General features: G+C 48.4%; 1 protein-coding gene across 15 annotated transcripts in view, besides 1 other annotated feature; it reads left to right on the top strand.

Annotated features, from left to right (window-relative positions):
* The window catches only part of PI4KB (phosphatidylinositol 4-kinase beta), a 35,919-nt gene that overhangs the window by 10,266 nt on the left and 12,959 nt on the right, over positions 1–12,694 (top strand). For 7 of the 15 annotated variants that reach the window (NM_001369624.1, NM_001369625.1, NM_001369628.1 and 4 more), the window contains 3 exons: positions 941–1,877; positions 9,649–9,876; positions 11,087–11,314. In NM_001369624.1, the coding sequence (NP_001356553.1) occupies positions 969–1,877; positions 9,649–9,876; positions 11,087–11,314 (1,365 nt within the window). In that variant the 5' untranslated portion in view covers positions 941–968. Of the gene's footprint in view, positions 1–940; positions 1,878–7,194; positions 7,240–9,260; positions 9,284–9,648; positions 9,877–11,086; positions 11,315–12,694 lie in introns of those variants that run through there. The other 8 variants (NM_001369626.1, XM_011509634.2, NM_001369629.2 and 5 more) reach the window with 3 other exon arrangements.
* Positions 5,603–5,897: an enhancer, noted in NCBI's record as "tiled region #1421; HepG2 Activating DNase unmatched - State 14:Gen5', and K562 Activating non-DNase unmatched - State 5:Enh". NCBI's record gives its function as "activates a minimal TATA promoter and a strong SV40 promoter by Sharpr-MPRA in HepG2 and K562 cells {active_cell/tissue: HepG2 | K562}" and the evidence as "EXISTENCE:reporter gene assay evidence [ECO:0000049][PMID:27701403]".

The raw sequence follows: 12,694 nt of genomic DNA, 5'->3' as shown, positions 1-12,694 counted from the left end.
GGATACTTGGGAAGCTGAGGTAGGAGGATTGCTTGAGCCCAGAAAATCAAGGCTACAGTGAGTTCTGATCGCGCCACTGCACTCCAGCCTGGGCAACAGAGCAAGACCCTGTCTCAAAAATAATAAGATTAAAAATTTAAAAATAAGCCAGGCATGGTGGTGTGCACCTGTGGTCCCAGCTACTTGGGAGGCTGAGGTGGGAGGCTTGCTTGAGCCCAGGAGGTCAAGGTTGCAATGAGCCCAGATTGTTCAACTGCACTTCAGCCTGGGTAACAGAGCAAGACCTTGTCTCAAAAAAAAAAAAAAAAAAGAATTTGTAAATGTAGGCCAGGTGCAGTGGCTCACGCCTGTAATCCCAGCACTTTGGGAGGCCGAGGTGGGTGGATCATGAGGTTGGGAGATGGAGACCATCCTGGCTAACATGGTGAAACCGTGTGTCTACTAAAAATACAAAACAAAATTAGCTGGACGTTGTGGTGGGCGCCTATAGTCCCAGCTACTTGGGAGGCTGAGGCAGGAGAATGGTGTGAACCCGGGAGGCGGAACTTACAGTGAGCTGAGATTGCGCCACTGCACTCCAGCCTGGGTGACAGAGCGAGACTCCGTCTCAACAACAACAACAACAACAACAACAAAAAGAATTTGTAAATCTATATAAATACAACATATACAAAACAACATTTCACATATATAAGCTAAGAACAGAGGCTAAGCTGAGTAACTACAGGAGGAATGACGAGTAATGTAATCAGAAGTGGAGGTAGTCAGGAAAGCTTCCTAGGATATGTCTTCTTATCTGATTTTGAAGGAGTCCAGGAAGACAAAAAGAGGAGGTGCCTGGGAAGGTGTCATAGCAAAGGGAAGATCTGAGGATGGCACCACTAACCAATGTGTGTATGTGTCTCCCTTTCTGTTCTTTTCTCCCTCCCTCTTCCTGTAGCTTGGAAGCTCGAAGTCTGGCTGTGGCCATGGGAGATACAGTAGTGGAGCCTGCCCCCTTGAAGCCAACTTCTGAGCCCACTTCTGGCCCACCAGGGAATAATGGGGGGTCCCTGCTAAGTGTCATCACGGAGGGGGTCGGGGAACTATCAGTGATTGACCCTGAGGTGGCCCAGAAGGCCTGCCAGGAGGTGTTGGAGAAAGTCAAGCTTTTGCATGGAGGCGTGGCAGTCTCTAGCAGAGGCACCCCACTGGAGTTGGTCAATGGGGATGGTGTGGACAGTGAGATCCGTTGCCTAGATGATCCACCTGCCCAGATCAGGGAGGAGGAAGATGAGATGGGGGCCGCTGTGGCCTCAGGCACAGCCAAAGGAGCAAGAAGACGGCGGCAGAACAACTCAGCTAAACAGTCTTGGCTGCTGAGGCTGTTTGAGTCAAAACTGTTTGACATCTCCATGGCCATTTCATACCTGTATAACTCCAAGGAGCCTGGAGTACAAGCCTACATTGGCAACCGGCTCTTCTGCTTTCGCAACGAGGACGTGGACTTCTATCTGCCCCAGTTGCTTAACATGTACATCCACATGGATGAGGACGTGGGTGATGCCATTAAGCCCTACATAGTCCACCGTTGCCGCCAGAGCATTAACTTTTCCCTCCAGTGTGCCCTGTTGCTTGGGGCCTATTCTTCAGACATGCACATTTCCACTCAACGACACTCCCGTGGGACCAAGCTACGGAAGCTGATCCTCTCAGATGAGCTAAAGCCAGCTCACAGGAAGAGGGAGCTGCCCTCCTTGAGCCCGGCCCCTGACACAGGGCTGTCTCCCTCCAAAAGGACTCACCAGCGCTCTAAGTCAGATGCCACTGCCAGCATAAGTCTCAGCAGCAACCTGAAACGAACAGCCAGCAACCCTAAAGTGGAGAATGAGGATGAGGTAAAATTCTGGGGAGGGCCAGAGACAAAAGGTGGTAGAGGGCTGCATGGAGACAGGATGCCTCCTATATACACACAGGGTTACGCTGTTCTTTCTGTCCTCCCTGTTTCATTTCACTGATAAAAGCATGGAATGTTAGAATGGAAAGGCCTTAGAATTCATGTATTTTGCCTGCCTTAGTTTACAAAGGAAGAACTCAGACCCAGAGAGATAAAGTGAGTTGCCTCAGGTCATATAGGTCATGGCAAGGCTGACGCTCCTGACTGTGTCCCAAATCATTTTTATTAAACTGCACTGGCCAGGCGCGGTGGCTCACGCTTGTAATCCCAGCACTTTGGGAGGCTGAGGCAGGCAGATCACGAGGTCAGGAGTTTGAGACCAGCCTGGCCAACATGGCAAAATCCCATCTCTACTAAAAATACAAAAATTAGCCAGGCGTGGTGGTGGGCGCGTGTAATCCCAGCTACTTGGGAGGCTGAGACAGGAGAATCACTTGAACCTGGGAGGCAGAGGTTGCAGTGACCAGAGATCGCGCCACTGCACTCCAGCTTGGGCGACAGAGTGAGACTCCGTCTCTAAATAAATAAATAAATAAATAAACTGCCATTCCATTAACATCTACTATGTTAATGAGAACTGTGGCAGAAGCCCTCCACACCCTGACCTGAGACTTGAGATAGCTACCAGAGCCTCTCAGAGCAGCATCTGTGGGAAAGGAAAAGGTACTATTGTCTTTCTGTGTGCTGGGGTAGGGGAGATGTTAGAACATCGGCTTCATTCTCCTGGCCACTCCTCCTCATAATCTAATCCCTTTTCACTACCCTCTGAAGATCCTACCTTTTGTTGACATAAGTGTAAGGTTTATTTCTTATCACTGAGGCATCTGGAGAATGCCTTCATTGCCTGCCTTTCCTTAGGGGGAAGAGTGCCTTGCTGGTATCTTTCCCATACCATTTGGGAGAAGCACAAAGGGAAGAGAAAGCACTCTTAGTATAGAGTAAATATAGTGCCTAGTCAAGGACCTGGAGGCTGGGAAGAAGAGGAAGCTACAGCAGCAGTTGGAGGTATAACTTAGGATATAGAGCAGGGAAGAGGTGGCCACATGAATAGGTTATACCCACTCTTCACTCCACATCTGGACAGATAGCAGGGAAAGCTGCCCAGTGGACTACCAAGTGTCAGTGACCTGGTGTCCCAGCCAGACAATGGTGCTCCAGTCCTCCCCTCTGACTCACCATTGGCCAGGCTCCCATCCTGGCTTCCAACCCAGCCTAGAAAAGAGGGAGAAAAAAAGGAGGAATTTGCACTTTTTGAAAAATGCGGATAGCTATGGTCTTGGCATCTGCCTCTGTGGGGCATATAACCCACCCACGTTTTTGATACAATGGGACTTCTTTCAAATAGAGGGAAGTCAGAGTGACTAGAGAAAAGGAAGAGGGAGGGAGACTATAGAGCCTGCTCTCTGGAAATTTGGAATTTTGTTAGGATAGTTTAATAATGGTAAAGCTAAAAGTGCTAACATTTATTCAGCACTTATGTGCCAGGCATCTTGCCAAGTACTTTACATTTAATCCTCACAACCATGCTGAGAGACAGGTATTATTTTGCCAGCAAGGAAACTGAGGCTTAGAAAGATTAGATGTTTTGCCCAAGGTCCCTCAACTAGTGAATGTCAGACCAGGACTCAAATCTCCAGCTGGTGCTCATAATCATTCAGCTGAACTACCTTGGTTATTTCTCAATATCTACTTCCCAAGGTCCCCAGCTGTCAGAAGCCATGTGGGGAAGAACGGCCCAGGCTATGGCCATCTGAGCTTCCACATCCATGCACAGGCAAAGCCAAAACTGTTGTCAGAACTAGAATGAACCGTTTTCATATCTGGTTGAGCTTGGCAGCAGAGCCCTGGGTCATGAAGAGAAGTTGCTGCAGAACAAGAAGAGTCATCCAGATTCTAGTGGAACATGAAGGGTTGGATAGCTGTCTCATCTTGGAGTCAAACCTGTAGCAGAGGGTGAGCAGCTGGAAGTGAATTCCTTGGTGCCTCTTGTCAGGCTTGGCTTTTCTCTTTATCCATTTTGTAGTGCTCATCTTAGGACCAGAAAAGCTGAGGCCTCAGGGCTTTTCTTACTCTGCTGATCCTTGGTCCCTCTTTCCTTACATCTAACTCCCACTCCAGGATAAGATTATGGATGGCACTGAGAGGCAGGTATTAGGTGAATACTTACATCATTTAGGGTGGGTTCTGTAGCTGCCGTTCTTCCAACCTGACTCCTTATCTTGGGTCACTAGATCCAGGAGAGGAAGGAGATACTATGTTCCCAGGCACTCCTGCGTTATCTGATACTGACAGAATGAAATACCTGAATTCATTATGGCTCCACAGAAAATGGGAGAGCAAGAAAGAGACAGAAACATGAATATCACTAGGTTTCTAAGCATTAGAGTCGTCAGCACAGGGGTCTCTCCCAGCCCTTTTCCTTCCATCCGTCCTTCCTTCCTTCCTTCCTTCCTTCCTTCCGCCCACCCGTCTGTCTGTCCGTCCGCCCTTTTTCTTGCAACAGGGTCTTGCTCTGTTGCCCAGGCTGGCGTGCAGTGGCACAGTCATAGCTCACTGTAGCCTTTAACTCCTGGGCTCAAGCAATCCTCCCATCTTAGCCTCCCAAGTACCTGGGGCTACAGCTATGTACCACCACACCTGGCTAATTTTTAAAAAATTTTTTTGTAAAGATGAGGTCGTGCTCTATTGCCCAAGCTAGTCTCAAACTCCTGGCTTCAAGTCATCCTCTCGCCTCAGCCTCCCAAGTCACTGGGATTACAGGCATGAGTGACTAGACCCAGCCCCTTTGGCATTTTGAGGATGCGTCTGTCAAGGCTTTTGTCCCCTAAATACCAAAGGAATTGGTTTTCCTTTTACTCATCCTTCTTCCCTTTCATGTAACATTCATTCACTCAACATGTAGTTATTGACTTTGTACAATGTCCAAAGCCGTGAGCTGTGCTGTGGAGGACGGGGGATAAAATGTTATCCTTCCCTCTAGGAACATGTGAAGTAATAATGAAAACCCCAGTATCTATGGAACTGTTTAGTTTGTGACTCTCTTGAAAAAGTTGTTTTCTGCCATAAGCAGGAAGTATACAGCTTACTAAAATGAGGCACATAATTATCTAAGACCTAAGCAGAGATACTCTAGGAGAATCTCTAGGTAGACCCTAACACTCTGCTCCCAGTCTCTTGCTTTTCTTTTAGGTTCTGAGTTTAATACTATGCTCCTACCACCAGTAGAGGGGCTCCCAAGGATGAGGTCGGGCCTCAAAGAAGAGGCTCAGGGGCAGCATGTACAGTTCTCTTCCTGCCCATGGTCTCCCTGCAGAGTTGTTCTCTGCTCAGCTCTCACAGTGTTCTCTTTCTTACTATGAGGAATCCTTTACACTCTCTCCCACAGTCAGAAGGCTTTGTGCTGATTTTTCACATTTTCCACCACTGCTCCTCAAAGCCTGCCGCTTCAAAGCCATTTTATCAGCCTAGTCGGGGAACTCTGCCCAGGCAGTTTGTCCTCCCATTTGTAACCAAATGGCAAATATTTTGGTATAGAATGGGGGAGCTAAAAGGAGAGAGTGATTTAGGTATCACACCCTCCCCGATATGATGACACTGTTAGTAGATTAGCTTTGTCTTTTCAGGACTGCAACCTTTGTACAGAGAAATCTGCCGCATGTCACACTGGAAGCCCCAGTAGGCCTTCTAGCTTGATATGGTGTGATGTCAGCTTCTTGCTTCATCTTTACTCCCCGGAGCTGACTCAGTGTGAGTGACTCAAGCCCAGGGAGTAGGAGAGGAGCAGGTCATGATATACCTCCCTTCCCCCAGGGCTGTCAATGAGTCAGACAGGACCTGTCTGTGACAGAATCAGCTGGAGCGTTGCTCAGGGAGCCAATATCTTGCCTGCTGTTCCTTCTCCAACCAGCTCATAGGTAGAAATAGAACCACTAATTCATAATAGACTCTGACATCCTCACTGCCTTAATTCTCCCACCACCTTCTACCCAAAATGGAAGAGTTGTTGCCTTAGGGGCATGTTTCCAAATGTGGCTTCTCCCTCAAAGTGCTCCAGTCCCCAGATTCTTCAAGGAAGGACCTGACTATAGGACCTCCAGCTAGAATAGAACTGAAACCATGGAATTGAGTTCAAGTGGATGCTTGAATCTACTCAGCAGATTTCAGAGTAGAAACTCACCACTGCCCTCCTGCCCTGGGAGCTCTTAGGACTTTGTCTTTTAAGTCTAACCTCCCCCACCCCGACCTCAACGTCCCCCACAACCTAGATTTGTGCACACGTGCTGCTCTGTTCCCTGCCCTGGTAGACCATGTTGGACAGAACCCAGGATGAGCCCTGTGCATGAGTGTTGCCTCAGAGCTGCTGAGTGAGAGTTTGACACCATCTCTTTCCCCTGTTTTTGCACACGGACACATATGACACAGCAATGGGGTGATGTTTAGATAAATCCTCTGGGCTGGGACTAGGACAGCTGCTATCCAGCTAGTCAGCTTTCTAGATGGATATAGCTAACTCCCCAACTTATATCAAAAATTGTAGTATATTGATTGTCATGTGGATAGCCTGATAGGAAGCCTAAGGAGGTTTGGTAGATAGGAGATTGATTTATCCTTCACTCCCATCAGCATCCAGCCCAGAGATTTTGGGCTTATTGGTCTAGGATGCTCTTTGTCACAGAGGTTCAAGGTTGGGATTCAGCTTCCCAGGGTGATAATGAGGCTAATTAGAGAAGAGGTATACCTGCCACTGAAAGTTTAGCTTTTCTTCCTCCCTGAGGTTTCCAAAAAGCTGGAGGAACATGGGGTTTCCAGTATGGGAGCCATGCAGCTTATTAAGTTCAGTCCTGTGGTGGTCCCCATGGAGAAGGATTTGGTTGAGAGCATGTGAGTGGGTAAAAAAAAAGAGCAGGGAAGCTTGGCAGTGCAGTTACTGCCCTAGGGACCCAGCTTTAGAGCTTTGGCCTAGAAGGAAGATCCATTCAGTTGAGAATAGAAGTGAATAAAGTGAAAAGCAGAGGCTGCTTTGTCTCTTCAGTCCTTCTGACCTTAAAGTCTGAGCTGCCCTTCCAGCATCTCCTACAAGTGGTCAAGCATCTGGGCAAGTAGCATTTCTGAGTTGACTTTCTTTTATTAAAGCAGAAAGGTAGAACTTCACTAGAGAAGCAGTTACGATCCAAGTTGGAGCTAAATTCTTTACCTTTGTCTCTCTCCCCTCCCTTCCCACCCCCTCCTTCTCCCTTTGCCCTCTGGCCCTTTCCCAGGAGCTCTCCTCCAGCACCGAGAGTATTGATAATTCATTCAGTTCCGTAAGTGGGGCCAGGCTGGGACGGGGTGGCAGGCTCCCCCAGTGGCCGCATTTCCTCTCCGTCCCCAGGTCTTCTGAGCCCCCAGGCCAAGGCTGGAGTTAAAATGCCCCTTTTCTTACTGGGAGATCAGCTCCTCCCTCCCAGACCTCCCAGATCTGCTGGAGTTCCCCTGACCTTTGCGGTGGAAATCCTGAGCCCAGGCTGAGATGAGCTCAGCTGATCCTTCTCTCAGAGACAGCTGGAGTACAGTGCTGCTCAGCCCCCAGCTCCTGAGTGTCTGGAGCAAACAGCTGGGAGAGAGGTAGAATTCACTCCTGGATTAGAGCCAAAAACTGCCTGGCAGAAACCCCCAGGATCCTGTTTCTCCCACCCAGAACCCTTTCCCCATGGCTTCTGCCGTCAGATTATCAAATATTTATTCATAATCTTCTAAATGCTAGGCCCTGTGCTGGTGAGCTGACTCCAAAAACAAATAGGACTTGGCCTGAAGGAAAGTTTTGCCTCTCCACAACTGGTTTTCTTTTTTAACTTCAACCACATTTTTTCCAGGTCTGAGTTCTTCCCTTTTCCCAGCTCACTGCCCAGGATGTTCCTTAATCCCCTCTCCTTTCTTGTTCCCTCTGGACTAACCCCTGACCCTTTGGTCCCACAGGGTCTTGGACCTTGTTGCTGGGCAAAGACGTGAGAGGAAATGCAGGACCTCTGGGAGTTTGGCTGATTTTTTTTATATTTTCTATTTGATTTGTCTATCAAATCAGTTTTCTCTGTTCTGTGCTAATCCCCTTTCAGTCATGATTCCTATCTCCTCTCATGTGGCAGAGCCTCTCTCTTGAGGCCTGGGGTCACATTTCTAACATGCTCACGTAACTTAGGGGCCCCTAACCCAAATGCTGATTTGAGAATGGGAAGGAATTCTGCCTTTTCTAATCTGAGATGATTATGAATTGGGTGGGGTAGAGGGTCCTTGGGACAGAGATCAGTTGCCATCTGAGTGGATTCAGATGAAGGAAGAAGTGAGTCTTCAAATTTCCTCTTATTTTCTTTCTCTATTAGACCCCCAGGATATTTCCAGGGACCTTAGAAACCCAATTCCATTGTTTTCCTTTTCTTTATCTCTTTTCAACAATGTCACTTAAAGCATTCCTGAAGGATTCAGACACCCTCTTTCAGTCCCTATGTGGCACTCTGAACCATCTCCCAAGAGGCAGAGGCTGGAATGAGCTTTTCCTTTGAATCCTGGCACTGTTGCACATGTAGAGGTAGGCCTGATACTCCCCAGTTTTCAAAAGAAGCTCTTTTAGAGTTCGAGGGAGCAAGGATAGAAATTCTCTCAATCCAGAAACTAAGCAAGACACACGGAAAGGGAGAGAAAGGCTTGGTGAGTCAAATGCTGTTTCTACAAAGGAGGGGAGATGGGATGGGGAGTTGGGTGGCTGTCTTGATAAAATGCCCCTTACGGTAGAAGGGCTTAGACTGGGAAGAGAGCCTTTCTTCGTGTCTAGCTGAGTCCCTCTTTTTCCCCACCTGCACCTTAATTCCAAGACCAACTTTGCTCTTTCTGAGGATGACTGAATTGCCCAGCACAAGGAGCCAAACTCACAGCAGGGAATTAATATGAGGAACCTAGTCACTGAGAGGTAGGGGAAGAGGACCCAAAGAGGAGTCACTAAAAGAGACAGGCCTTCAGGGCCATCATCAAGGGCTAAAAGGAGCTGTTGCTTTCTCCATCTACCTACCTCCTTCCATCTGCTTTTTCTTTCTCCTTGATTAATGCAAAGTCTGCTCATCGGCTCATCCTCTTTCCATCCCCTGCATGTGCATTGACGCCTGGTAAGAGATTGTGGGACGGACAGGGGGATACCATGGAAATCAACAGAAGTAATTTGAATGACGAGCATCTTCCCTCTTTGAAAGTGGAAATGATGTGGGGCTCCCTTCTCTAGCCTTGCGGGACTTGACGGAGCCCCTCGGCAGAGATCTAGCCCAAGGATCCAGATGGGGAGAAGGACAACCCTGTTCTTGAAAAGGGTGAAACAATTCAGGTGTAAGCAGCTCTTCTCTCTGTGGCCCTGGCTAACCTATCCAGATGTCCCCCTGCTCACTCTGAAGCCTTGGTACAGTCCTTAAGGAACCCAAGTCCAGGAGAAGAGGAGTGCATCCCAGTTACCTGGACTCATGGCCTCCCTTACCCTCAAGGGATAGCCTATAGGGAAGGAATGTGCTGGCTATTCTCAATTCAAGTTGTGAAGGGTGGGTGGAAGCTCCTACTAAGACTAAAAAGCAGCTGCTTTCCTGGAGTTCTCCAGATAGTGGGGTCCCCGGCCTGCATGGCCAGGAGTGACTGAGTGGGTGTGCCATTGTATTCTATGGTTTCTTCACCATCTTTTGTCTTACCCCAAACCCCTGTAGCCTGTTCGACTGGCTCCTGAGAGAGAATTCATCAAGTCCCTGATGGCGATCGGCAAGCGGCTGGCCACGCTCCCCACCAAAGAGCAGAAAACACAGAGGCTGATCTCAGAGCTCTCCCTGCTCAACCATAAGCTCCCTGCCCGAGTCTGGCTGCCCACTGCTGGCTTTGACCACCACGTGGTCCGTGTACCCCACACACAGGCTGTTGTCCTCAACTCCAAGGACAAGGTAGATGGGTTCTGGCCCAAACCCCTACCCTGGACGTGACTCTTCACCCATGGTTGTTCAGAGTTTGCGTGTATGACCAGTGAGGCCCTCACCAACATCCTAGACTCCCTTCATAGTTCATGATGCATATGTCAACCATGACTCTGTCTCAGTGCGATTGTGATTTTGAGAGCCCCCCTGTATCCCTTTTTGGGCTTTGTTTTTCTGGACCAAAGAAACCTAATCTTTTTAGCTTCCTTCTTGCTGTATCTTAGGAGAATTGCTCTTCACCCCACCTTATGGTCATTTTGGTAGCTTTTCTCCAGCCTTTCTATAACTCTTGGGCTTTCCAGATACAGCAACCATAAGGATAGAGAAATATTTTGTTTCTAAGACCTTTTCTGATCAGAATGAGCCGACAAAAGGAGAGAAGGATGCCCAATTCACACTGGAGAGAATTAGCTGAATTTGTGTGCTGACTGGAATGAGTATTCATGGTTCAGATTCTTCTTTTTTTTTTGAGATGGAGTCTCACTCTATTGCGGAGGCTGGAGTGCAGTGGCACAATCTTGGCTTACTGCAACCTCCGCAACCCAGGTTCAAGCGATTCTCCTGCCTTAGCCTCCTGAGTAGCTGGGATTACAGGCGCCTGCCACCACACCCGGCTAATTTTTGTAGTTTTAGTAGCGACGGGGTTTCGCCATCTTGGCCAGGCTGGTCTTGAACTCCTGACCTCATGATCCACCCGCCTCGGCCCCCCAAAGTGCTAGGATTACAGGCGTGAGCCACCGCGCCCGGCCCATATTCTTCTTTCAAAGGAAATACTGAAGTTTGGGACACTCCTTGGGACAGTGCCCAGCTTTGTCCCAGTCTTTTTGTCCACTGTAGCTCCCTGGGCCCTGTCTTCAGGACGAGCCCACAGAGGCATCTAGGCCTCCCTTACAGCCTGTAATTGATAGTCTAGAGTGGTTTGGCCCAAGCACATCATCTGTACATTTTGGAGCTCAGTTGAAATATTTTGAAGACTTAAGGATTCTGTCACACAAATTCTTTACATAGGTGATCATAGGACAAGTATCTGCCCTAAATATAGTGTTCATAGTTTCAGAGGACTATTGGATGAAGGCTGGAGCTAGGAGAAAGGACAGCAGGAAGAACCTTGCTAACAGAGTTGAGATTTGGGGGTTAGTGGTGGAAGTAAGTTGCAAATACTGTCTCACTCTTCCCCCAGGCTCCCTACCTGATTTATGTGGAAGTCCTTGAATGTGAAAACTTTGACACCACCAGTGTCCCTGCCCGGATCCCCGAGAACCGAATTCGGAGTACGAGGTCCGTAGAAAACTTGCCCGAATGTGGTATTACCCATGAGCAGCGAGCTGGCAGCTTCAGCACTGTGCCCAACTATGACAACGATGATGAGGCCTGGTCGGTGGATGACATAGGCGAGCTGCAAGTGGAGGTGAGAGGGCTTCAGGGAGGTAATGCTGGGTCACAGGAGCTTTCTCCAGGAGCTTTCACTATATTGGAAACAAGACAGCATATCCCAAGGCAGGGTAAGGCAAGTATCCTAATGAGTGGTGTAGGTAGTGAGGGGTAATATGGGGAAAGCTCTGAACAACTCTAGCCTGGAATAGATTCAGGTGGAGTTCATTTTCCAGGTGAAGGATTCAGATTTAAATGTAAAGAGGAGCTTCTAGGCCAAGGGGAGTGAGGGAAATTTAATGAAAATATTTATTGAACACCTACATAAAGTTGTCATAGAATAGCAGAGGATGAGAAGTCATACATTAATTCATTCAAGAAATTTTTATTGAGGGCCTTCTATGTGCCAGACCTGAGTGCTGTATGCTAGTGAACAAGACTTGGCCCCTGCCTACAAGGGATTTATGACCTAACTGGAAAGAGAACAAGGCCAGTAAGCAAGTAGTTGTAGTGTGGTGAGAGTCAAGTCATGGGGGAAAGGATAGGACATTATAAGAGCACCAGACTTGGGGCGGGCATCACAAGAGATTTCCTGGAGGAAGTAATCTCTCAGCTGAGGCTGGAAGCATGGGTAGGAATTAGCTGGACAAAGAGTGCTGGACAGAGGGAACACTGCATGCAAAGGCCAGAAGACAAGAGGGAGCTTGGGCCATTATAGGAATTGAAAGAAATTTTGCCTGGCTGTGATGTGCAGGTGTGAGGTAAGAAGTGGTGAAGAATAAGACTGGACACGTGGGCATGGACCAGACTATAGGAAGGACCCTGTAAGCTGGGGAAAGAAACTTGAACTTTATTCTGGGGCATGAAGAGCCAGAGCAGAATTTTGTGTAGAGCTATTAACACAGCTGGCCAGGCGCAGTGGCTCACACCTGTAATCCCAACACTTTGGGAGGCCGAGGTGGGTGGATCGCTTGAAGTCAGGATTTCGAGACCAGCCTGGCCAACAAGGTGAAACTCCATCTCCACTAAAACTAGAAAAATTATGCCGGGTGCGGTGGCGCACGCCTGTAATCCCAGCACTTTGGGAGGACAGGGCGAGCAGATCACCTGAGGTCAGGAGTTCGAGACCAGCCTGGCCAACATGGTGAAACCCCGTCTCCACTAAAAATACAAAAATTAGCCGGGCGTGGTGGCATGTGCCTGTAATCCCAGCTAATCGGGAGGCTGAGGCAGTAGAATTATTCGAACCCAGGAGGCGGAGGTTGCAGTGAACCAAGATCACGCCACTGCACTTCAGCCTGGGTGACAAGCAAAATTCCGTCTCAAAAGAAAAAAAAAAAAAAGCCAGGTGTGGTGGAACATGCCTGTAATCCCAGCTACTCGGGAGGCAAGTGATTCTTGAAGCACAAGAATCACT

This window comes from Homo sapiens, chromosome 1 (genome assembly GCF_000001405.40).
Source record: "Homo sapiens chromosome 1, GRCh38.p14 Primary Assembly".
Classification (NCBI taxonomy): domain Eukaryota; kingdom Metazoa; phylum Chordata; class Mammalia; order Primates; family Hominidae; genus Homo; species Homo sapiens.
This window is presented reverse-complemented; position numbering and strand designations above follow the sequence as displayed.